General features: G+C 38.4%; 1 protein-coding gene across 19 annotated transcripts in view; it reads left to right on the top strand.

The window, feature by feature from the left end:
* Positions 1-27,538, top strand: part of BBS9 (Bardet-Biedl syndrome 9) — a 506,483-nt gene that overhangs the window by 356,143 nt on the left and 122,802 nt on the right. For 18 of the 19 annotated variants that reach the window (NR_145412.1, NR_145411.1, NR_145413.3 and 15 more), the window contains one exon: positions 20,036-20,218. The exons of the other annotated variant lie outside the window; for it this stretch is intronic. Coding sequence is in view for 15 of the 18 variants with exons in the window: in NM_001348036.1 (NP_001334965.1) it covers positions 20,036-20,218 (183 nt within the window). In the remaining 3 variants the exon portion in view is untranslated. The remainder of the gene's footprint in view (positions 1-20,035; positions 20,219-27,538) is intronic. 19 annotated transcript variants of the gene reach the window in all.

Here is a 27,538-nt window from a genome sequence, read left to right on the forward strand (position 1 = left end):
GCCTCCCGAGTAGCTGGGACTACAGGCGCCCGCCACCACGCCTGGCTAATTTTTTGTATTTTTAGTAGAGATGGGGTTTCACCGTGTTAGCCAGGATGGTCTCGATCTCCTGACCTCGTGATCCACCTGCCTCGGCTTCCCAAAGTGCTGGGATTACAGGCCTGAGCCACTGCGCTTGGCCAAAAGTTGTTTTAAAAAAAGGCATTTTCCTAATAATGAGGTTTGAGAGAAATTTTTCTTCTGAGTCTTTATAAGGTAGACATTGGGTGATATAATGAATAACAGCCTTGACAATAGTAGGCCAAATTATGACAAGATATGGTCAAATTAGTTGACACTCAAATCCAAAATTAAATAATTGATTAGGTGTGAACCTTAAGAAGGCTATTGGATCACTTTAACCAAATTGTTCATTTTTGCCAGTTCTTTGCTGGAATGGAGATAGCTGGTCACCTCAATTAAAGAGGAAAAAAGATGAATTCATTCACTGATTGAATCCAGTGCCTGATGACTCATGAGTAGTTAGGTGTAATTCTTATGACTACACAATGGTGGGTTGAAGCCTGATTTCCTAACTTTGGAAATTAATCTTTCGTGTGTTCTTGTTGGCGGTGTGGGAGTAGGGGGAAAGTAGAAAAACCGAAGCAGCCTCCATCTTCCCCAAAATTCAGGGGCACAATTTAGCCTTATTGTTCAAGACCCTCTGCCAGAGTTGAGTCTAAGGCACAGTTTTTTTTTCCCTCAGTCTAAACAATCCAGGCTAAATTCATTTTTCAGCTTACAATACTGAACCCTCTTGGAATAAATAGGTGCTGTGACAGCTTCTCAAATTCATAACATTCAAGTGGGCTGTCAATGGCCTCCTGATGGATGTGTGGGTCAGGAACAGCCCCAGGGAAATCTCCTCGGAGAGGAAGTACTGGAAGTGAGAAGCCAGCAGTCAGACAATCTCCTGTTCAGTTGTATCACAGTTGTGCTTCTGAGAAAAAGCTGTAAAGAAATTAAATTTGTTTAAATCAAATTGTATTTTCAGTGCACTTAAGTAGTTGCTAAACCTAAATGGATCCTGTTAAGAATTACTCTTTAAAGTGAATAAATCCCTTCAAAATTGTATCATTTCATATTTTTACATATTCAGAGATCCTTGCTAACTTTTGGGTATGTAGATTTTAAGGTATAGGTTTATTTCAGCAATGAGAGATTTGGGGGACAAAGTCAAACTCCTATTCTTTCCTGACCCAAACTGGAAGTCAGCTTCTTCTTCTTGTTAGTGTTGTTGTTTGGATAGATGCTAAAAAATCCCAGGATTCTTTCCAGTAACTTCTCTCTGTAGGCAGCAAGCCAGTTGCTGTTTAGAGGTGACCCTGGTAGCCATTCAGGTGAAAAGGGGAATTCTCAGGGGAAGTCTTTTTTTCTAATTCTCTACAGCTGCTTCAGACCAGTGCTGATACACAGCAAATGAAACATAATTCATTGTCCTAGCCAATAATGTCTTTCATAAGCACAAGTTGAATTTGTGATTTGTTGGGTAGTGTCTTACCCCACTGGGGTATCTTCGTAATTTGTATGTGCTGAACTAATGATGTTTTATTTTATAAATTGGAATTCAATGCCAGTATGAAGGAAAGCAAAAATTCTTTCTATAAAGTTTTGTGATATTGGAAGTCCTTTGATCCTCACCTTGTGACTACTAAATGTCCCCTCTACCCTGTATAATCTGGCCAATCTTTACTCTTAAATAGCATTCTTTGTTTAAAGACGTAAGCTTAGGATTCATTGTAATTCGTTGGTTTCTCCATTTTTTAAACTGTAATTTGTTCCAAATGCTATGGGGTTTTTCCAGATAAGCTACTGGTTTTTATACTCTTTCCATGTAAATTAGCTGAACAGTAGGCCTCAGTTTGGAGAATATTAATTAAGATTATTTAGAGATGTTAAATTCCTTATGCTTCTAGTGTAATGATAGCTAACTTTATATAGTATCTAACAGTTTACTAAAATTCATCACATAGATCACTTAAATTGGCCCCTAAAAAACTAAATCTGTGAGGCAAGTTAATATTACTTTGCTACTTTTTACATTAGAGAAACAGGAGGATTGTCTAGAAAAGTAAAATGATTTGCCTGAGGTAAACAGCACAATTCAAACTATTGAGTCAAAGGCCTGTGTTCTTTGCATGATATCAAGCAAGCTTTAGGCAGGCTTTGCTGCTGGAGGAAGAGATCTGGGCCATTTCTTTCTCCCTTGTACCCTATGCTCACATTTTGGGGCCTCTCATCCCAGTAATTCTGATGAGAATGGTCAGGGGATGTGTCTGGGTGACTGCCCTTTCTGAACTGTGTTGTTCTCAGCCATCAGGGAACACCTTATGCCCAAACTGAGAAATGTAAGGTTGAGGCTCATAGCTCTCTTTCCACATGCCCTTCTTGTCTCTTTTAACATAAAAAGACTGTCTCAACTTGATAGCCCACTATCATAGCCTCTTAATCACAGGGAAAATAATTATCAATATCCGAGGTGTGATAGGCTATAAATTGTACATGAAATCAGCTTTGTAAATTATAAAACTGTGACAGTGAAGGAAATTACTAAGTTTCTGAAAAAATAGAAAATCAAGACAAAGCCAAACTCTGATCCCATTTTATGGAGAGGGCTGTCACTCCAGCTTCAAGCTCTCCTCTTCTCTCCAGCCAACTGTATTCATGCTTCCTCATATTAATTTTTTTATGCTACATCTGTGTTTCCATTTTCTTCTGTGCTGTCCATCTACTTGCACACTTGGACTAGATTCACTTCCCCTTTGCAAGCTCATGCCTTGTAGGTAATAAGTGGCATGTTTCAAATCCTCTGTGCTATAGGAACAAAATCTCAGACCAGAAGTTCTGAGTTTGATACCCTTATTAGCCTTCCCTGTAACTTGACATTTTGCATTTTTTCCTCATAAAAGGGGGACTTAGGTGCTCTGCCTGTTTAATTTGTAAAGTTGTTGTGAATACTTAATGAGATAGTGTAGGTAATATCCTTAAAGGAGGATGTTGATGTGAGGGGTTAGCCCTGGTTCCAGTACTAACCTCCTGTGTGATTTAAGGCAAGTCACCACATCTCTCTGGGCCTTAGAACTTTTCTGTTTCCTTAACATTAAAATATGGGGTTAGGATTAGATGATTTTGAAGGTCTTTTCAGATTCAATCAGTTGAATTCAGATGAGTATATTGAATATTTACAGTGTCATGAACTATAAATAAGAACATTGTCCTTGTTCTCAAAAAACATGTAATCTAAGGAAAAGAGATGTAAATAAATGACCATAGTGTGATATAGTAAATTTCTTCTGTTCTAGCCCTGAAATTCTGATTCTGTGATTGCAAAACTTATCTCCTCTCAGTCTCTTCCATTTTAGAGCTTATTTCTGTCCAGAGGAAAGAAATTCACCAAGAAAAGTAGTTTTCATATGAGGGAATAGAGTTTACTTGGTTTTTAGCAGAGCATTACTGGTGATTGATAATAGCTGTAAGTGGCGTGTTTGTCTGAGACACCAGATAACATTCAGGACAGACTTCTTTTTTTTTTTTTTTTTTTTTTGAGATGAAGTCTCACTCTGTCACCCAGGCTGGAGTGCAATGGCATGATCTTGGCTCACTGCAACCTCCGCCTCCTGGATTCAAGCAATTCTCCTGCCTCAGCCTCCCGAGTAGCTGGGATTATAGGCGTGCACCACCACGCCTGGCTAACTTTTTGTATTTTTAGTAGAGATGGGGTTTCGCCATGTTGGCCAGGCTGGTCTGGAACTCCTGACTTCAAGTGATCCACTCTCCTTGGCCTCCTAAAGTGCTGGAATTACAGGTGTGAGCCACTGCACCCGGCCAGGACAGACTTCTTTAAACAAAAATAACCACTTATGGCTTTTTTTTTTTTTTTTTTTTTTGCTGAAATTGAGTTTTCTCCAGTAGGTAGAAGGAAAACTTGGATATTTAATAACTTATCAAAGTAGTGTTGATGACCAAGACCTTCCTTGTGTACTCATCTCTGTTCAGGCAATAGCTGGTATAAAACTAGAGATATAATCTAAATATTCTGCATATCGGTAAACTAAGAGGAGACTGCTCAACTTACCATTCTCAGATTCTGCCAGAATCAACTTCTGATATACCAGAAGTTTTATGGTGGCCAGTTCCCCAATAATCTGTGTAATCTTTCTTAATATTATTTTTGATCATCAAATCATAACTTTTCTGAAGATTGCTAAACACTATTTTCTAAGGTGTTTTTAGGGGAATTAAAATGATGGCCACAGGATAAAACCCTAGAGAACTGAAACAAAGAACTCTTTCCTGAAGCTTCACGTGCTATTGTGTGATATTTCCTATCACTCATGAACGCTTCCACTATGAAGATGGTATTCTATCCCCAGAATTAAAATTTCTTCTCCGGATGGTTTGTGTGATACTTGTTATTTTATCCAAATTCAGCTCTTTATCACAGTGTTGGATATTGATACCAAGAATTTAAACAAAAAGTGGCTGTGTGAATCAGTTATTTGTAAGATAATAATCTTGTTCTTATTCTCTGAAAATGGATTCAGATTTCTAGTAAATGGATTCTATTAGAGGATTCCAATTTGAACTGTGACACCTGTTTAATTTGTTAAGTGAACTAGAAAGTGAGTTATTTTTAAAACTAGTTGTAATCCATACCTCTCTTAACAGATGCTCTCATCCTCATATAGTCTATTTTAGCTACTTCGAAGGAAGAAATACATGGGTTTAGAGGGGCCCCTTATCCATTCAAATCCAAATTTGGACATTTCAAGAAAAGATCTGTTTTATACATAACACATTTACTTAGGTTTGTAGATTTTTCTTTATTTGCTGAGTTTTAAAAAGATCAATCTTTTTTCTTTTTCTTTTTTGTTTTTTTCTGCCTGGTTTGATTTTCTTTTTATTTGTGTGTTTTAACAGAGAAGCTTTACATGAGAATATCAATGCCAGGACCAAAGCTGTCATGTCCCTTTTTGTTTAATTCTCATCTGTATTAGAATTATACATGGATATCAACTATCTTTTGGCTAGTTTTATAGTTGAAAATCACTTCAAAGATAGTCATTAAGAATTATCTCATAACTGTGAAAAATGTCACTATCTCACAAATGTTTATTAACCCCAGTTTCAGTTGCTCATTGAGCCAAATTTCTTCCTCCATTAAGGTTCATGCAGCACCTAACACTCCAGTGGGTGCTCAATTTGTACTCTTTGAAGAGATTGAATAAACATATATTTTATTTTTTCTCAGGGTAAATTGATCTTAGCTTCTATTCTATTAATAAGAAATAAACTTTATTACTTTCCCAGAATGCATAGTTTCTTTCATTGAAGTCATAAGCATAATTAATCTGAAAATAAGTAACAACTTTGTGGAAGTTAATTTTCTAGCTCCGTGGAGTTCTTTCAAAGCGGTGTGGACAGTGACAGAACATGGGCTTTGTTGGGTAGCCAGTCCTGGGTTTGAATCTTGCTGCATGACTGTGGACAGTCAGCATCTTAAACCACCAGTTTCGTCACAGCCAAAGTAGATCTAATAGCCCCACTGCACAGTTTCATTATAGAGACCATATGAAGGAACTCATGCTTGGCCTATAGTAGGTCCTACCTAGGAAGTATGGGGAGAGGGATCATTGTGTATATTGGAGAGAATGCCCCACAAGGGGTAGCCAGGGAGTATTCTTAGAATAGTTATTTCCTGGAAACTGGATGAAGACACTGGGAGGTATAACTCCAAACAAAATACCACACAAAAATACATTTAATGAATTCTAAGACATTAATTTTAGAGCACACTATTGATTAGATAACTTTTGAGGATAAAAAGCAAAGCTACCACATTAAATGTGGCGTATCCTGATTTGAAAACCATTAAAGTGTTTATCAAAAATGGGTGTATGGGTGGGAGAGGTGCCTAACAAGCAAAGGGCATTATGGAATTAAGGAAATCTATTATTGGCTCTGCCTCACAACTGGTATTCTAGGTACTAGCTCTACTTCTAAGAGAATGTTCTGCTAGTAATATTAAGCTAATATGCTACCCTTCTAGGATGTACCAAATGGGATTTAATTCAGTTCAATTGAACAAATATTTGTTGAGCCCTACTGTGTGTTAGGCCCTATGCTCTATGCTGGGGACACAGTAGTAAATAAGACAAGACACAGTCCCTGTCTTCACAGAGCTTACATGTATTAAGCAAGTCATTCCAAATGTGATGGATATAATAGAAGGGGACACACAGGGTGCTTTGAGAGAGAAGATGTGGAGATTATGACACATACTTTGGTAAATAATGTAAGTATTTTATATACAAAATCAATCCCATGAAGAGGTACTGAAATTATTGGGATTGTATAAACTAGAGATGAAGAGGCCAAAGGGAGTGTTATTATTGTCTTCAGGTATATGACATTTTTTGAATTTTATTTTGCTTTATTAAAGGATATGTTGGGCTGGGTGTGGTGGCTCATGCCTGTTATCTCAGCACTTTGGGAGGCTAAGGTGGGTGGATCACTTGAAGCCAGGGGTTTGAGACCAGCCTGGCCAACATGTTGAAACTCTGTCTCTACTAAAAATACAAAAAAAATTAGCTGGGCGTGGTGGCGAATGCCTATAATCCCAGCTACTCAGGAGACTGAGGCATGAGAATTGCTTGAACCTGGGAGGTGGAGGCTACAGTGAGCCAAGATCGCACCACTGCACTCCAGCCTGGGTGACAAAGCAAGATTCCACCTCGAAAAAAAAAACAAAAAAAAAACAAAAAAAAAACTTGGTTGAGTGTTTAGCCAGGGAATAATAAATAATAATAATAATGTTAACCTTTATTGCATGCTTCCTATGTGCTAGCCACCGTGACAAATACATTTTAAGTTGTATCTCATTTAATCTTCAAGCCACGTAATTACTTGTCTCTTACAAAGGAGAAAACTGAAGCTTAAAGACGTCGAGGACCTCCTGGGATTAAATTACCAGAGCCCAGATTCAGTTTAATCACTTATGATGAGGACGATCTCTGTTTTTCCATACCTGTCACAGATTTTTTAATGTTTAGAGTTCATGATTACTGAAGTGGTTACAAACTCAAATGACTAGAGGGCCAGGCAGGTAACACAGATGTAGATGGGAAACAATAAGGAGTAATGTGCAGGACTTGAATGTTGTTCTGAACCAAAGGCATTCAAACATTCAAATGCAGGTTTACTTAAAAGAGGGACAAACAAAGGAATCTGTGGGCCCTTCACCCCAGGAGATCAGTTGTTGGGGAGGAGTCATTTATAGGTATTTCTCATACTCACTTAACCTGATAGCCGTTTGTATAGCACTTATCATCTAGTATAGGAGTGAGTGTGTGTGTGTGTGTGTGTGTGTGTGTGTGTGTGTGTGTGTGTATGTGTTGAAGGGTACAGTATGGCACAGTGGAAAATGCTTGGGCTTTGTAGGTTTTAAAGATACCTGGTTTGAATCTTGGCATTGCTGTGTGATTTTCACCAAGTTGCTTAACCCCTCTGCTCTTAGTCTTCTTCTTCTTTCTTCTTTCTTCTTTTTCAGATGAAGTCTCACTCTGTTGCCTAGGCTGGAGTGCAGTGGTGCATTCTTGGCTCACTGCAGCCTCCACCTCCCAGGTTCAAGTGATTCTTGTCCCTTAGCCTCCTGAGTAGCTGAGATTACAGGCATGAGCCACTATGCCCGGCTAATTTTTGTATTTTTAGTAGAGACAGGGTTTTGCCATGTTGGCCAGGCTGGTCTCAAACTCCTGACCTCAAGTGATCGCCTGCCTTGGCCTCCCAAAGTGCTGGGATTCCAGCTGTGAACCACCGCGCCTGGCCTATTTTTGTTGTGAGACTGTTGGTTCCTTGCAGGTAGCTCTTAAACACATGTATCCCCGTCACTCAGCACACACTTGATGTGGCACACTACTTTTGCCAATTTAGTCACACACAAATCTGAAATTCTTTTCAGTAAGTAATGATAGCCATCAAAAAGCTTGAGGTAAATGAGAATGAGTGACTTGCCCCAAACCTCTCTCCCTGATTCTAATGAAAGTACGTCTCATACCTAATTTTGTCACATATGAAGACATTTATTAAATAAACATTTATAAGCATGGGACAATTCATATGGCTTATTCTGCAGGCTGGGTGAAGGCCCAGCTGTCCTTTAGGTAGTAGACTACCACCTTTCTGGAAAGGTTCCACTGGGGCGGATTGGACAATAATCCAAGGCAGTGTCTTTTTCCCCTCGTAATGGACGTCAAGTAGCTAGAAATCTGCTTCCCAAAGTCAAGACACAGGAACATTTAGGTTTACACCTTGGACCCCATCCCATGAGTGTCTTGCTGGAATTCGTGTACCCTGTTCATGCAGAGGAGGGTCTGAGTATAAAAATATTCAGTCAATCCACATGTCTTTAATACCATTAATTTTTGCCAGTGAACCAATTCTAATATCTATAATGCTGACTATCAAACTTCTGATCATCAAACTTCATTAATCAAAATCCATTTCTGACATTTATTATGGAATGAAAAAGTCTCCAGTGTTGCTGGAGATACTAGTAGCCTAAGTCCTTGTGGTAGCCCCTCTGGCTTGTGGGTTTTGCTGCTGATGAGAAGGATAACTGTTTTGAGCACAATCTCACTGACTCTAGACCGATGGATCTCAACCCAGGGTGATTTTGCCCCCAGGGAGACATTTGACAATGTCCGGAGACATTTTTTGGTTGTCACAACTGGTAATGAGAGATGCTATTGGCATCTAGTGTGTAGAGTACAGGGGTGCAGATAAACTTCATATAGTACCTGGGGCAGCCCCAACAACAACAAATTATCTGGCCCCAAATGTCATTAACGAGGAGGATGAGAAACCCTGCTCTAGAGTGCACTTAAAACTGACGCACATGCTTGCATGATATGACTCTGTGATGATGTATTTTAAAGTTAAATTACAGACTTCATAACACTTGCAGTAAACTCAGCAGTAAAGACTTGAATGAATTTAGGAATTCATTGTAATATAATACATGTGGAAGGTATGGATTTAGAGCCCAGTTATTTACAACCTGTGGTAAACCCAATGAATAACATAGCCTGCAAAAACTTTTCAAAAATGGGAGGCTTTGGTCTTGTTTACCTGGAGTATAGGGAGGGACTTCCCTTACCCAAGTAGTGGTCCTATAAATTACCATCTTAATGGATACTCTTGGCTACTGAGTCATCAGAATTTTAAATTTACTTTAGTATTACAAACATTCATTGAATGCCTGCTGTGAGCCAGAGGCTGTAGGAGGGTACAACAAACAATAAAATAGTCTCTGACCTGGGGGAGTTTATAGCACAGTAGAAATCATGCATAACATATCTTCACCAAGGCAACTTCCAATTACAATGTTCCAATAGCCTGTGATTGTAAAAATAACCTACAGTTTACCCTAGTTTCACTCCATGTGAAACCAGGCAGCTCTCCTCATTGCCTTTTGTATTATTTCCATGTGGTCTGAGCCATATAGACATTTACATATTTTGCCAAAGAACTACCAGATAGTAGTGGTGTAACTATTTTATCTAAAAAAGCAAAAATACATAAAAACTACAAATACTGAAGAGAAGTAGGCCCTCTGAAAAAACTAGATGTTTTAAAAGAGGATTCATAGAAAAGCCTCAACAATTTCACTCTATTGTGAAAATGTCACTTTCACCTCTTAAACTCTGGAACCAAGGAAATGATTGGCAGTGTCACCAGCATTGTTGGGGTCTCCAGCCTCCCTTTTTGCCTTTTTGGGAGCATGCCCTACCTGATCACGTGTAATAATGTGTCTTAGCACTTGCTACCTTAGCTAAAGGAATGCTCTTAGGACACCGCCAACTGCCCATCTATCCATCATTTCCCTTCACTGGAGATGGCACTCGAGGCAGTGTGGGTGGTTGCATAATTACTGACATGTCTGCATGTAGGAATGTGGCCTGAAACATTCTAAACTTAGAAACTATTCAGATCAGACCTTGTAGATGTTGTTTTTGGAGAGTGATAACTGTGGCATTCTCCAGGGCTTGTAAAATGAGCTCTGACATTGCCAACCATAGATTCCAGCTTTAATAGCGATCTGTTCAATGAGTAACCATAGTCCGGAGAACATTCATTCTTCTTTTTACAACCTGATTCCATCAATTATTATTTTTTAAATTGGGGTTTCACTTGGCTATAGGAAGATAATTTTATGGAAAGGGGTAAAAATTTGGTCAGCCAGGGGGAAAAAAAGGTAAAAATAGTAAGCAGGCTTGAGATCAGTTGTATTTTTAACTTTATATTAGCCAAGCATTGGAGTTCGTTTCCTTTCAACTGATTAAGTTACATGTCTATATGGTGAATAAACTTTGCAGAAATAGCAAAATTTGTCTCTATGTCACTAATAAATGATTTATTGTCTCTCTCAGAGTCATACTTATATATATTATAAAGAAATGTCTCAGAAATAATTTGTTTTTCTAAAACCGGTTTTATGTGAATTCTCAAGGCATTTTGCAAGTGTGGATTGGTGTCCGGGATAATTGTAATCATAGACCAGAAAAACCATTGTGACTTCCAAGAGTCACATGATCATACCTTAGTGTTTCGAAGGATCAGGTGGTTTAGCTCATTAGGAGGTCTCTTTTTATGAAGACAAATCATTTTTACAACTGAAGTTTTTTACTGACTGGGTACACTTTTGCAGTTGCCTTAATGGCTACCCAAAATGATACTATGATTAAAAATGTATTCTGGGCCAGGCGTGGTGGCTCTCGCCTGTAATCCCAGCACTTTGAGAGGCCGAGGTGGGCAGATCATGAGGTCAGGAGTTCGAAACCAGCCTGATCAACATGGTGAAACTCTGTCTCTATTAAAACTACAAAAAATTAGCTAGGCGTGGTGGTGGGCACCTGTAATCCCAGCTCCTCAGGAGGCTGAGGCAGGAGAATCACTTGAACCTGGAAGGCGGGGGTTGCAGTGAGCTGAAATTGTGACATTGCATTCCAGCCTGGGTGACAGAGCAAGACTCCATCTCAAAAAAAAAAAAAAGTATTCTGATCCTGGTTTTGGTTTACAAATTTAAGCTAAATGCATGTTAAAGGGGAGTCTCAGGTTTTCTTTACAATATGAAGTGCAATAGAATGAAATCCAGTTCACTGTCCTATTAATACAAAATAATATAATAGCAAAAACAGCTAAGAATTAGATTCTTGCTATGCCTTCAAAGTAAAAGCCTCAGATTTCTCTTTTATCTAGTCATAAGTTCAGCACAGAGGTAATGAATGCATGTAGGTAATGAATGAATTAGTTATAAGCTTGCTACCCAAATGCTTCTTACATGCCTGTCTGGCATTTAAACCATCTCCATGCCGTTTCTTTTTCATTTGAGCCCTATTTCATTGTTTTTGGTAAAAGAACAATTCTTTTGGATACAAATTGGATCATTTCATCCAAAGTAAAAGCTTAGCCCTGGTAAAATCTTTTCTTTTTTCCTTATTGCAAAGCCTTTGCCATGTTGGAATTGCAGCAAATGCCATCACAAACAACATTGTTGGGAGGGAAGTATGCCCTATTTCTTGTCTGCTTCCAGTTCTCTCCTAGACTGAGAGTGCGCCTTTCCAACCAAAGGGCTGCCATCTGAAGAATAAATTCATTTCAACAGTCATTAGAGCTGTCTGTTTGGTGTTTAGGAAGCTCTGGCTAAAGGTGAACTGGAGCAATTTTTTAAAAAGTAGATGACAGATATATTGAAGTAGGTCTGTTGTTTCCATGTGACATCACTTGGGTTCCATTCAAATTGGGAGCCTGACAGTGCCTGATTCAGTGTGTCCAGGATTTAAGAAGCAGAAAAAATATAGTTGCACTATATCTTTAGGTGGACTGACTTTGAAGCTCATCAATTCACCCAGCATTTATGGGACACCCAATGTGTACCTCGTACTGGAAAATTGTGGGCATGTTGGGGTCTTATCAGCTGATATTTTTACACTGGAATTTTCTGGGCTTTTTGAGCTTGAGTTTTGATTTTCTATGGCTTTTTGTGGTGAACTTCAGAAACATTTTATTCAAATCACCAAATTTTCTAACATTTTCAGTAAGGTATAAAAGAAGAACAAGCAATGTCTGGCTCCCCAAGTAACAAGCCTCAGAGGATTTCTAGAGAACAAGTCATACCAGGCAAAGTTGTATGTCTGTGTGCTTGTTTTAATAGTATTGCTAAAGGAGTGGATAAAGGGAAATCCAACGTTGAGTAACTTACAAGCTTTTCATCAAGCTTTGAAACTTGATTAAACTTAGCTGCAAAATGAACACTGTTTTCACTGAGTGACCACAGAGTGAGGGTCAGGGTACGGTGCAGGGTGATCAGCTATCCTGCCTAACTTTGGGAGGTAGTAGTTGGTAGACTGCCTCAAACAGAAGAGTCTTCCTTTTTCAATGTCATTATTAATCTAATAGAAAAAGCAGAATTTTCCTGGTGTTACTAAATTGAAATGAGCCCTAAACTATAGAAAATTTTAAGAAATAGTAACCAGGAGCCCAACCAATTAGAAATGAACAGCAGGGATGTTCACTAGCTTTTACCGAGTATTGTTTTATAGGTGAGAAAACTAAGTTTGAGGGAGGTAAGGTAACTAGCCAAAAGTTCTACAACTAATAAGTAGCATCACCAGTAGTCATAGTTAGATGTGGTTGACTCCAGTCACATGGTTATTCCATCATCCTTAAGGTAATTAAGCCCTAGTTTCAATATGATATGGCCATTAATATATCAAAATTGTTGCCTAAGTAAAGATGCCTTTGTGTTTATGTATTTACCTTACAGGAATTATACTTGCAAAGTATCTTTTATTCGCTTACTATTTTCACAGCTTTATTGAGATATCATTTACATATATTACAATTCAGTCATTTAAAGAGTATAATTCAATGATTTTTAGTTATTCACAGGATTGTGCCACAATTACCATAGTCTAATTTTAGAACATTTTAACCCCTCCTAAAAGAAACCAAACCCCCATTAGCTGTCACTTCCCATTCCTCCTATTTACCACCCACCCCCAGCCCTAAGCAACTATTAATCTACTTTCTGTGTTTATAGATTTACCTATTCTGGGTATTTTATATAAATGGAATCATACAATATGTTTTCCTTTGTCATAGGCTTCTTTTGTTTAGCATAACATCTTCAAGATTCACCCATTTTGTAGCGTGTATAAGTACTTGGTTTCTTTTTATGGCTGAATAATATTCCATTATATGAATATGCCACAATTTGTTTATCCATGTGTCTGTTGATGGACATTTGAGTTGTTTCTACTTTTTGGCTATTATAAGTAATGCTGCTATAACTATTCGTGAGCAGGTTTTTAAATGGACATATATTTTCATTTCTCTTGGGTGTATACCTAGAAGTGGAATTTCTAGGTCATATGGTAACTCTATGTTTAACTTTTTGAGGAGCTGCCAGCCTATTTAACACAGCAGCTGTACTGTATTACATTTCCATCAGCAATGTACGTGGGTTCCAATTTCTCCACATCCTTGCCAGCACTTGTTATTGTCCATCTTTTTACTCCTCTCATTTAATTTTCATAATCCTATGAATTAGCCAAAGAAAAATATTCATAATGCTATTTTATAGATAAAACCCCCATGTCAACAAGAATCCTATTATGTGTGCAAATAGAGGGGAAGAAGTGGCATGGATAATTCAAAACAACACATCATCCAAAAGTAGTTTAAAACTTTTTGAATCAGACACTTACAGCTATGTTGGATGTTAGAGATCATGTTTCCTACATTTTAAAGGTGATGAAACTAGAGCCCAGAAAAGGGAAGTAAATTGATGAACACTGACATAAAGCTGCTTGGTAGCAAAGTCAGGACTAGAAGCTCTGTCTCCTTGGTTCCCAGGACATTGCCTGTTCCAGCACAGCCTATTGCATTCTTCCCTAGGGGATGTATAAATTCATCCATATCATAGGAATGTCGTTTTCTTAACTCATTCATCTATGCTGACCTTTTATTACAACAAATCTATCTGGTTTATTGTAATAAATTTCAGGTATTGGGAGATTAGCGAAGCTGAAACCTGCAATTGGGGAGCTCCTGATAGAATTAGTTTCACATATTGCACATGATGAGACTGATATGCAGGCAGAAGGTTAATGCAGGCAGTGCTTCATAGTGACGTTTCTTGGGTCAGATTGCTTGTATATGAATTCTGGCTCTACTGCTTACTGTTTGACACTTTCTGTACTCTGGTCTTATTTTTAAAATGGGAGCAATAATAGTATATACCTCACAGTATTGTTTTTATAATTAAGTGAGATTATTTCTGTAAAGAGGTTAGCACAGCCCCTGGCTCCTAGATACCCTTCAATAAATGTTGACAATTATTATCACAAAACATTAACCTGCTCAGACCACTGAAAATGTTGTAATGTGAGATTTTATAGAAAATAAATGAATCATCCCCTTGAAAAAAGTAGCTTCACTAAAGGAGCAGGCCTAGAAAATGTCTGTTTTCTAAAATCTTCATATTTTTGAGCTATATGGAAAATAATAAAATTCTCTTTGTTAAGAAAAAAACCTTAGTATGTTAACTTCCCATTCTTACAAGTTATGAACTAATTTCCTTTATAATGTAACTTTGGGCAGTACCACACAACTTTGTGCAGAAACCAGCCAATTTGAATTGACCTCATGTTTAAAGCTGCGACAGTAGGAAAGCATAACTAAAGCACATATGCCTATCGTGGATGTAATGTATTAGTAGTGTTCTTCCTTAGTGTCTTTGCTTAAATATCAAGATGAAAATTCACTGGATTATTTTATGGGGCTGAATGTATAATTTGTATATTGGTTTATATTATGGGGCTGAATATATAATTTGTATATTGGTGTAGAAGAAAGGGCACCCAGTAGGAAATCAGAAGACAGGATTAGAATCCTAGCCCTTATCTTCCCTTATTCATGACCACAGGCAGTGTGTTCAGATGCCTGTAAGCTTCTGTTTCCTCATCGGGAAGTGGGGGGACAGGGGGTCAGCAGTTCCTATCTCAGAGGGTTGTCATGAGGACCACATGATAATCTGGGTATGACAGCCTTGCACACAGTGCCTGGCCCACAGTCAGTCCTCAGGAAATGACAGCTAAACAGCAATGTAGTGTTTAGGCAGTGGTAGTGCCACACATGAAATATGGAGGCAGATTCAATGGTAAGTTTAGGTGAAGAAATTGGACATGTCCGTGTTCACATAGTATGATGATTCATGTCTACTCTGCTGTTGCTGCTGCTGCTTTCCTGTAACCAATTTTAGAGCCTATCTTGGCAGCTGGAAGTATTTGGGATTAATTTCACACTCACTTTATGAGTTGAGCGTTTTCCTGCAAGCAGCTCCCTGGGCCTCTGCCTCATTACTTTGGCATCAACTGATATGTCAGTTGGACAGAGATGTCCTTTGGGGTCTCCATTTTATTTGGAAACCTTCAATTTGAAAAAACAAAACAAAGGCCATCAACACATTGTGCTTGAAATCGTTAGCATTTATTGTTTCCTAAACCCCTCCCTTTCTGTAGTTCTGTTGAACACTAGGGAACACACATCTTGCTCAGCCAGTGATGCACCCTTAAAAATCGCTCTCCCTCAAATTTAAGTCCTAGCAGCTGGTTGGCCTCATTTCTCAGTTCCAGGTGAGCAGCGAGATCTTCTAGGCCTTGGTCTCAGAGATCTGAATCTTGATGGGTGTAGTTTTTCCAGTCTTTTTACTATGTTAATTCTGTTAAATTCATTTGGCTCTTGTGGGGAACACAGTAAACTTGGCTGTTACGTGTAAAACTAAATTGAGAACATGGAGAGCTGTTTAGTATTTCATGCTGGCCAGTAGGTCAGGAAGATTTTCCTTGGGGGTAATTTACATAAGGAATTGTTTATCCCATTTCTTTCCAGTTTCTGTGACCATTTGGGGATAGCAGACTCCTTCCACAATGGCACAGGAATATATCCAATGAGACTGAGACTTAGACGATGCTTCTGTCCGATTGATATATTTTGGGCCTTGCTCAGGAAAGATCCTGTGGCTTGGACTGCTGTCTCACTGAGAAGTCATTCTTCCATAACAGCTGTGTTTAGCAAGTTGGGTGGGTCCATGAACTGACATGTTGTTGCACTTAGTGAGGATTTTTCCCTTGATAGTGAGGAACGTGTGTAAAAGCATCCTTTAAGTCCAGAAAATGCCCCAAATATTTGTTATGATCTGATAGCTGCTTAGAGTGCAGCCTCCATTAAGTAACACCCACACTCAGAATACTCTGTGGCTCCCCAGTGCCTACAGAGTTAAGTGAATGCTTTCACTGTGACATTTTGGTTCCTCTACAACAGTGCCCAGCCTACCTTTTTAATGTCATCAAACACTGTCCCTAAACTGGACTTATTCAATATCTATTCTTTTTTTTTTTGAGATGGAGTCTCACTCTGTCACCAGGCTGGAGTGCAGTGGCACAATCTCGGCTCACTGCAACCTCCGACTCCCTGGTTCAAGTGATTCTCCTGCCTCAGCCTCCCGAGTACTGGGATTACAGGCACGTGCCACCATGCCCAGCTACTTTTTGTATTTTTAGTAAAGATGGGTTTTCAACATGTTGGCCAGGCTGCTCTCGAATGCCTGACCTTGTGATCTGCCCGCCTCGGCCTCCCAAAGTGCTGGGATTACAGGTGTGAGTCACACGCCCAGCCTTCAATATCTATTCTTTAGGACACATTTCAGATACCTCTTCTCATTGGTGTGCTAGTAAATAGCTCTCTGGGGAAGAAGGGGAAGGGTAGGAAGCCTGATTTTGTAACATTTGTGGATTTTCATGTAGTAAATACTTCCACCATGGCTGATTTCAGGCTACCAATGTGAGGTCCCTGAATGCAAAGTTGGGAAGAAATGTAAACCGTAGCCCATTGCAAAGTGTTTCCAACATATGGATACAATAGGCATAAATAACCTCAAGAAACTAGATAATAGTAGGAAGTAATGAATGTTGAGTATTTATTACCTTTGTTTTAAATGTAATTTATTTAGTTTTAAGTTTATGTGATTTAATTGTTAGTAATGGCCATGTGTGACAGCTGGCTTGCAAAATTTCTGAAAACTGAACAATAGGTTCTTTCTCCTGATGTGGGAGGAGCTGACTGAGCTAGTTCTGGCATACCACTGCTTCTTTCTCTACCTCTTCCTTCCTAAGGCCCCCTACACTCAGCTAGTAGTAGTATGCCCATCTCTGAACCTACAACATGCTTAAGGTCTCAAACAAAATTTAGAGTGAGACACACTCCAGAGTTTGAATCCTGTTCTTTCATCTACTAGGTGATGGTCAGGCTGACTACTTATTTTGTGGATCCCAGTGCAAAATGAAAATGAGGGGCCCTTGTTCAAAATGCAGGAAGAAAGCGCTGTTAAAACCACTAAAATAAAAAGCTTTTTCTTTTCTTCAGTACTCTCTCTTTCACAGCTTCTGATGGTATTTTCTTATTTTCTTTTTAGTAGCTTTCTAAGTAAGAAAAAAACTAAAATTTCAAATAAGTAGCATGAATTTTACCATTAATCGTTACATTAATTCAGTTTTAAATGCAAGTATGAGCATTTAACTCATGAGTGCACATGACTCCTCTGCGCATGTGCATGCTCCATTGCCCTATCAATTTTACTTACAAAACGCAAGCTCAAAAATAAAATTACTAAGAATTTCAAGGCAGAGACAGCAGAGCGTTAAACAAGTTCAGGCCCGTCAAAGCTCGAGCACAGTTTGCACACCCTGCGTACAGTCCTGGGCAAATACCTTATATTTGCTGAGCCGCAGAGTTCTCATCTGTGAAAGAAAATATCAACTAAGTCGCAGGGGAGATGTGAGGATTGAAGGCACTGATACCTGTATGGCACAGGGCAGAATGCTTGGCATGCGGCCTATGTTCAATTAATTGGAGGGATAGTTATTCACATAATAATCGCAATGTTAGTGGAATTCTCCTTTATAGCCTATAGAGTCTTCCTTATGTGGTCAATATTTGCCTCCTTGACTGATTTTCCTATTACAAACTCTTTGAAGGTGGAGATTAGATCTGTCACCATTGAATTCCCTACAATACTTCCCGCAAATTCTTGCACATATCTGGCATTCAGTGGGTGTTTATGACCTTGATCCTTGTATGATTTGGACTTTTTGACAATAAGCATCTGTGTCATAATGTGATGGCCCCACAATGAGGCTTAATTGGTAACATTCACAGGAAGAAAAAGAGTATAAACTCAGACTTTAACAGGAGTCCGTTGTAATCATGGTGGGGGTGGGGGAGGAACACGATTCCAGGTGTTTTGGTTTAAGGAAAGTGGGCTCTTTCCATCTTTTCGAGGGGACTTCTTGAAGTAATGGGGAAGGGATGAGTTCCAAGCTCCGTTTGAGTAAAAGAGGCCCCAGGGATGTTAACTCTGGCCCACAGTAATCCGTCCCTTTGCTAACTTCTTTCACACTTACTTTCTGTTCTGCACAATTAGGACATTATTATAGTAATGTTTCTTCCCACTAATTGGCTGTGTATGTATGTTTTCTTTCCAACAAATTATAAGATCCTGTGGACTGTAAGATATTGTGTAGTTCTTTTGAATGTAATTGGGGAGTAGCACAGTACTAGGCACATAGCAAGCAATGCACTTTACATTATGCTACTCTTCGTTTAAACTTCCATGCCTCCCTGTAGAGCTAAATGTGAATTGTCATTGCCTTTTATAACTCCTGCAAGCCCTCAGCGAAGTGGCAAAGAATCTTGGTCGCCCCAGCAATTTCAGGCAAGGACCTTCAGTTGCTCTGCCTACATCTCTTTTCCAGTATCTCCGAGACACTCTGAGGGCTGTTTCTGTACAGCCCCTCTCCCAACATGGAATTTGGGAGACCACACAGCTGTACATTGTACTTGTTTGAATGATGATTTTTTAAAAAGCCCTTTGGGCCCGTGTCAATAAACCGTGAAATATCACCAAATGGATCATCTGCACCAGACTTCTGAAACTCATCTGAACTCCAGTCCCCCAGCTGGTGGGGGCTTGTAGAAAGGAGCTCATATGGCCCTGGCTTTTGCTAATGCTGTTCTGGGGACTGTCAGACGCCTTGAGCCTCTGCGGCAGTCAGTTCATTACTTTTAATGAGCACAAAATTCACCAAGACATTAAACTAAAATAAAACACCAATGGGAAGTTTTGGATGTTTCATCCAATTGTTGCTTTAGTTCTTTTTTCCACAGAATTATTCAAAAAGATGAAAAAAAGTCAATTCTACTCACTCCTGCCAATTTTATCCTAAGTAGATTTGGCATTGTAAAGTTAACACACCCTGAACTTTTTTTTTTTTTTTCTTTCAGGTCCCTGTGGGCTGGTGCCTGATATTTGTGTTAAAAATGACATTACTCAACTGGTCAAATGTTTGAACATTATCTACCTTTTAGATATAATAAAGAAATATTAGATATCTCAATACCATGTAGCATCTAAAGACTAATATTAGAGGAAAGCGATGTTCTGAAAAAAGTGTAATGAAGTTATTTTGAACTACAAGGCAAATGCAATTATTCTTCTGAGAATGTTTTAATTGATTAATTTATGTGGCTGGTAATAAAGACTGTGATAACTTTATTAGAGGTTACTTATATTACCATATATTGAAGAAAGTCAATAGATGGCAAAGCAGACACTGAACACTGTCCCTGCTAAGCTTATTTTGTGGATATTTTCCACTTCTGGCCATATGGATTTGGAATTACTGTGGGCATTTTTTTTTAAAGAAGGAAGTGAGCAGATGAATGATAACTCTTTTATTACTTAACATAGCTTGTGTTTGTGGAAGACAAAGTTCATCAAGTTGTCTTGAAGAAAAACAAAAGTGTGCCAGACATAATTTGTTGAGGGCTCAATAATTGTGAAATTATCCCTAACCGAAGTTTGTAATATCTGCAGGTAATTGCTCTAGCAGATGCAGTGGAGGAAAACCAAGGCAATCTGTTCCAGTCATTCACCAGGCTGAAGAGTGCCACCCATTTGGTGATTCTGCTGATCGCGCTGTGGCAGAAGCTTAGTGCTGACCAGGTTGCTATTCTGGAAGCGGCATTTCTGCCGCTACAAGAAGACACTCAAGAATTGGTAAGGACCTGAAAGCCTGTGGTGGGAACAGCCAGCATTATTGAAGTTTCGGCTTTAGGAAGATATCACATGGCTATCAGGTTTTCTAAGGTATCAAATAAGGGTTTGATTTTTTACAAAAATGCTGCTTTCCTTGTCTTTAAACCATAATAAAAATGTCAAACAAAGGCCTTTTTCTGTAGAGCTATTTTAAGAATAGGTATATAGTCAATTTTTATGTGGTCCAGTCTACTTTTTATGTGTTCTTCAATCACTTAGAAGCCAGGGAAACAGTCATTTGACAGTCTAGATGACAGCAGTAACCTTCAGATTAGCTAATCCTTTCCTTTTCCGCCAGAGAAAACACTTCGGCCATTTTAATTTGCTCAACCTTCTTAAATTTAAGTGTCACTTCAAAGGTTAGAGAGAATGGAGATAGCCTTGCTATAACTGATGTGAATAGTTCCTTACATTTATAGAGTTCTTTATGTGTAGTTTATAAACTCTTTTACCCTCAGTCCTAGCATAGGCAGTTTAGAATGAAAAGAGAAAAAATGAGGGTAGTATTTGGCATTTTCAGGAAAGGATTATTTAACTTAAAACCTCTGAGATCCTTTGAATTGTAGAGATATATATGACCACCACGGGCCGTTCTGGGGGACTTTTTGTGTGCTTTTATTTACAAAAGAAAATACAAATCTCGGAAATTAGAGACCGTTGAACTTAGTTCTTCGTATTGGATGAAAACATTTCAAGGGGAAATCATTTCAAATCCATTTTAAAACCTAGATTTGAGAACTAAAAATAGTAATATTAAAATGAACAATTTTTTTGAGTGGTTATTAGGTACCAGGTGTTAAGTGTTTTGTAAGAATTATTTACTCTTAAACATGGGCCAGTGAGGTAGTTAAAGTACTGTTTCCATCCCTGTTTTACCTATGGGAAAATTTAGGCTTTAAGAGTTAAGTACTTTTCTTAACTCTTTCTGTCTGCCTATATTTTAGTGAACAGGATCATGAATGTAATTTTGAAAACCACAGTTTTATCAGCTGAATTGAATATTCTACAGTTAGGTCAGAGGATTGCCAGATTTTTTTTTAAAAAAGAAGCTATATTTTATGTGCTAACCAAACTATTAATAAGTAAATTGGAAAAAGTTAGAATACACATTTTTGTTTAGTGGTGAATGATATATTATAAGGTGATTGACAAAATTGCGACTAAAATTGACCTTTGAGAAACTAGAAATGGAGACACAACTGTAATACTAGAAAATAAATAATGGTTAGGATTATATTAATAAGAATGATAGCTGTCACTTATGAACTCAGATTTAGTAGTCAAACAGGTTTGGGTGACTTCAGTTATTGGTTCCACCACTTGGTGACAAAATCACTGTGGTTCAGTTTCTTAACTGTTCTAAATCTCTCTTCTGTAGCTGTAAGATGGAAACAATAGTAGGACCTACCCAGTAAGTTGTAATAGGGATTAAATGAGATAATTACATAGAGTGCTAAAGATTAGCAATCATTACTGGAAGTGATTTGTACATTTTATGTATATTATTTATTGTCCTCACTAAAGTTATGCAAGATCAGTTTTTTTGTTTGTTTGTTTGTTTGTTTTTTCGTTTTGAGATGGAGTCTTGCTCTGTTGCCCAGACTGGAGTGCAATGGTGTGATCTCAGCTCACTGCAACCTCTGCCTCCTGGGTTCAAGCGAATCTCCTGCCTCAGCCTCCAGAGTAGCTGGGATTACAGGTGCGTGCCACCATGCCTAACTAATTTTTTTTGTATTTTTCATAGAGACAGAGTTTCACTGTGTTGGCCAGGCTGGTCTTGAACTCTTGACCTCAAGTGATCCTTCTGCCTCGGCCTCCCAAAGTGCTGGGATTACAAGGCGTGAACTATCACATCTGGCCCAGTCTTAGTAACTTTCATGGTTATTTGTCCATCTTCACAACTACACTTAAGAATGATAATATCTTATTCCTTTTTATATCCTCAGTACCTGGCACAGTGCCTGAGCACAGAGCAGTCAGTATTTGTCGGGTAGATGAATGAAGGAAAGGGTGAAAACTAACAAATGGTGACCTCAAAGAATAGATGCAGTGGATGTAATCTGGAGCATGAGGAAGCGGGTCAGGGCCAGCTACATAATTTGCAAGGCCTAGTGCATAATGAATACTTGAACTTCCTTGTTCAAAAAGTAGGGGAAGAGGTGATAAAGTGCTGTTAAAACACGTACTAAAAGCAAAGCTTTTTTCCTTCTGCAGCATCTCTCCTGACTTGTCATGGCGTTTTTTATTTGCTATTTTATGTTCTAAGTAAGAAAAATAAAAAATTTAAATTGTTAGTGTGAATTTTACCATTGGTCTTTGTAATGTGCAGTGCCTCTTTGAAATACAAATATGACTGCATTAGACTCATATGCAGAATCAACAAAATTACACAATTTATATTTTGTAGCTTGTACTTACACATATATTTTGTTCTTATAGAACTGTGGAATCACCAGACTTAACTTTTTATTTCATTTCTTGATATGTGCCTATCTTCCAGTGCTCTCTACCTTCAGCTTACTGATGAGAAAGGAAGGACTGAAAGGAAAAGGAACTATGTATCACTCTTTTTCTTTCCTTCTATGTTATCATTTTCACTGTAAGTGATTAGGTAATACAGGGGAAGTAACAGGAGTAAGAAAAGATACAATGGGCTTCTTCGGTCATTCCTGTTGCTTTGAACTCTGTTGCCTTCCTTCTTTATTCAAAATATGTCTGGTTCTCATGGAAAGCCTCTCAGGGCTACCAGTGTCCCCACTTAATCAGTCTAGACATAACATGCCTTCCTTGTAGTTGCTTTGAGTCTCCCTGAACCCCTACTCATCATGGGGCCACAGGAATTCAGAGCTCATGGGGCTACATGTGAATGAGACAGAAAGGAGAAAGGGGGCATGCATACTGCATATATCTTCCCTTTTTATACACGTGCTTCATTGCTCCATCAGAGTTCACTTAGGAAACACAAATTCAGAGGTAAAATTATTAAAAATTTCAAGATGGTGACAACAAAACATTAAGCCAGGCAGGGCTGGCAGGTTGTCCTTCTGAGCATGAGCCCCTTTGTGACTGCAGAGCTTGAATGCTCATGAAGCTGGCCCTGAAGCATGGTTAGACTCAAAGGAAGACTTTCCTAGAAATAAATGTTCTAAATGTAGGAATTGGTACCCAGAAGAGATTGTGGTATTTCTTACTTGAGAGATCTTTAAAAAGTCTTATTTATCTGGGAATATGTAAGCATGCTTATCCCTGTAGGCAGGTGAATGGACTTAGTCTCTCCTGAAAGCCCCTTTCTACCCTGCCTGTACATTCTCTGCTGTCATAGCCCCCAAAACATGTAGAAGAAAATTCTTTCAACTCTCTTCTGAATTCGGTGAGATTAGAAGGTATGTATACTCATTATGTCTTTGGAGTCATTAATGAGACAAAACATTTGATAAAAACATAACTTGGAGAAGAATGAATCAAAAAAGACATTTTAATACTGCTTGTTATGCTCTTCATCTTTAATTAGGTTGTGGTATTCACTTCGGACTTATACTGTTGAGACAGCTTATACATCTTGAGAAAAAAGGAAACCTTTTTCATTCTTTAAGACATACGCATGCAGTATGTGGTTTTGACATGCTAGTTCACAATCCCCCACATTATGCCTTTAGACCTCACAAATAAATGTTATGTGATGGGTATCCCACTGAGTTGTGAAAATGAAATATGCAAACCTGAAATAACTTGGAAGAAGGGTGAGGCAGGGAAGAAAGGACTCTCTTACCAGAATGTTGAAAATATATCCCATATTGAAGTTATTATGATACCACAAAAATCTGAATGTAATTTAGATGGTTTGGTTGAGGGTGGATGGCAGAGTACATGTGTGAGAGGGAAAACTTTAGACATGTGGACGACATTTTCAGAAGAGCCTCTCAGCTCAAGGTCACATGTCCCCACAAGTATTGAGAGGTAAAAGAAAGTGCTCAGAAGATGTTTTGTTTATGTTTCAGACAGCACTGTGTAATGATTTGTTGTTATTTTGATGGTATGTGTTAAAAGGCAGCCTAAATGCAATAGCCAACCGTGGAGTGTTTTCTCCCTAATGACATCAGGTTCACAATGCAAAAATATTTAGAATGTGCTATTGCTGATGAAAAGTAATGTTCTCCACACTATATTGTCAGTATTTTGTTTAAAATGCCATTTCATTTGGAGCAGAATTAATCGTTGTCTGTGATCTGTCTCTTTAATGATGCCTTTCCATTTTTGTCACTCCTCAATACTATTTTGGGGCAAATAAATGCTGGTATATGTAAATTTTTAAAAGTGCTCAAAGTTATATGGGCCAGATGTGTTTTTGTGGGGATACCCCTTTTCATGACAGAAGAACATTAAGTATTCTATTTGGTGTCTCCTAAAAAAGCTCTTACACTTGGTTCCGTTTGATAACCTAGTATTGTCTCTACCATCTTCCTGTGATGATAAAGAAGTGTCACCCAAAATAATGTTCTAGCAGAGTATCAGATTGGGCAATTTTAAAATAAATTGTTTTCATATCTTTCAGGTTAGGGGCTGGAGATATTTCAGGGTATTTGAATTCTCAATGCAGAATTTAAACATGTCTCGATTGACCCTCTGTCTGCTTGAAGTTCTATGGAAAATACTTTATCTGCTAAGCTCAGTGAGGGCTGTGTTACTGGTTTGAGTCTGAGAGAGTGTTGAATTGTGGTATTATACACATCTCCCTCTAATCATGCTGCACAGAAGCCAAAAGATGCAAAACCATCCATACTTCAGGATGGCCTGATAGGACAAATCTCTTTACTCATTTATTCATTCAATGAAGATCTTAGCACATACTATGTCTTAGGCAGTGTTCTAGGCACATAGCATACCTCACTAAGCAAAACAGACTTAGAGCCAATCCTTTGTGGATTTACTTTAACATTGCAAGCAAACATTCTAGTCCTGTGCTGCCTAATATGGTAGCCCCTTGTCATGTGAATTTAAATAAAAAGAAATAAGAACACACTGGCTGTATTTCAGCTACCCAATAGCCACATGTGAATGAGTGGCTACCACATTGGATAGCCCAGATATAGGACATTTCCGTTATTGCAGAAAGTTCTGTTGCATAGCACTATCAGTCGTCAAGAGAAAAAACATCTTATCAGTTGAGTTGACCACCTCAGCACATTTTAACACACTAATGAAATTAGGGTAGGATACTGACATTAAGTTATACCATGGTGTTTGCATTTGCAGTACCTATTTGTGATATCCTAGGTTCAGCCTGTTCAGATGTGCAATAACCAGACACTTTTAGGAACAAGAAACTTCTCTGGGGAGATGTATGCATATAAGAGAGGCAAGAAGCTGGCACAAGTGATGCTGTTCCTATTCCCCCATGTGGCCTTGGTAAACATTGTAACCATGATTAATTTTTTTCTGTTGAGCCTGCACGTGGTCTCAGAATCCTTTTGAATACAGCATTCTAGGTGGTCACTGTCACTTAGAGTTGGTATGTAGATGAATCCTCTTTGCCCTTCCTGATCTCTGTACAAATCTCCTTCTCATTATCTTAGTAAACAGCTTAAATGACTAAGATTCTTCATCCAGCTTATGGCAAGAGAACAAGAAGGAGCAGTTTTGATATTTCCAAAACTGCCTGTATCAGATGTCTGTTCTAATATTCATTTATGCTCACCTGACTCCAGAGGAATCTCTAATGAAAAGAGCAATAGTGCACTGGTTTGGGGACCTGATTGCATAGAATCCCAGAGTTGGAAGGAATATTAGCACATTGTATAGCATTATGCCTGTTTCTTTTCTTTTAAAGTACGTTCAATGTCTTTACTAGATATTATCTATAATTTGAAGAAGGAAAGCTTTACTGTGTTCTTAAGGGTTTAATAGTTACCTTCCCTAGTACTGAACTTAAAAATCCCCTGGGAAAGTTAGGATGGAAATTTACATCAGTGGGGGAAGGAGACTTGGGCCTTCAGCCTTATTTTTTGATTGATTATCCCTTTTACAAACTGATATGGAAAGAGAAACTTATTTATAACATGTTCAGCATGGTTCATGTGAGAAAACAGATGTTTATAATAGGAAATGCTATTGTGTGGAGGGAATTATCAAAGCTCACTTACAAGGTTTAAAGACTTCTACGTCATAGGTCAGGTTTAATGTAAGGGCCATTGTGCTTGCTGTCTGGGTTGAGTGATGACTGCGATGGCTAATCATTGCCGTTATTAATGACCTCTTCTTAAAAGGCAAACAAAAAGAGGAAGTCTGGTGTCAGTATTAAGTCTGCCTTTGTGACTGTTAAAGTATCATCCCAATTATAACTGTCTATGGGAACACAGTGCAGAAAGTAAATATTTTGGTAATTCCCATGATCTTAGCCAGCAAGATAAACATGAAAGAACTAGTTTCATGTTATAATGACCACATACCCTGTGTTGCTGCTAGTGAGATGCAACTGATATTACTTAATTGTATAATATTCTGCCTCACTACAGTTGAATATGGTATATCTTAGAGGCTTTCTGATGGTTTTCTTGCTGTTTTGAAAAATTGAAATAGTTGAAATACTGTAGAATATAGTATAGGATAGAAGTCAAGTAGAATACAATGCACAAGTTGTGATGTGTACTTTAAAAAACTTTCTTTACATCAAATATTGAATGGTGCTTTAATGGACACATTTGGTATTTATGCATTTTAAAATAAGGAGACTAAAAAAACAAATAAAGAATTAATTGAAGCATCACTTTCTCTGTATGCCTTTTCAAATCCTCTGTGAAATAAAGTAGGATTTAAATGTGAATAAGGTAATAATTAAATTCAAACAATCACAGTGAGGAAAATAGTGATCATCATCAACTTCATAATGCTTACCAATTTTATTCCTGGCTAGAGGTGTGTTTATATTAGTTTAGTTTTCTTAAAATACTTTTCCCTGACCTAGTTTGAGTCTGCTAATTACAAAGAGATGATTTTGACCTTTCTGTGACAGTACATTGTTTTAGAAACATATACATGGAAATTGCTGGCCTTCGTTCCTTTAAAAGCAGCACGCCCGCTGTGCTGTGGACCACAACATGTGGCTCTGTGTCTCCCTGAATCTCCGTGTTCAGTTCATCTCCCTGGCCCGCTGTTGTTCATTTGGAAATCTTTCTGGAAACGCCCCTTGGCTCAGGCCCTGTTTTTCCACCTGACTTTCTGTGTTGGCATCCGAAGTAGCCTTTTTGCCCATGTCTCTGCATTGGTGTGCCCCTCACACCTTTG

The sequence above is a fragment of the Homo sapiens genome, chromosome 7 (genome assembly GCF_000001405.40).
Source record: "Homo sapiens chromosome 7, GRCh38.p14 Primary Assembly".
Taxonomy (NCBI): Eukaryota; Metazoa; Chordata; class Mammalia; order Primates; family Hominidae; genus Homo; species Homo sapiens.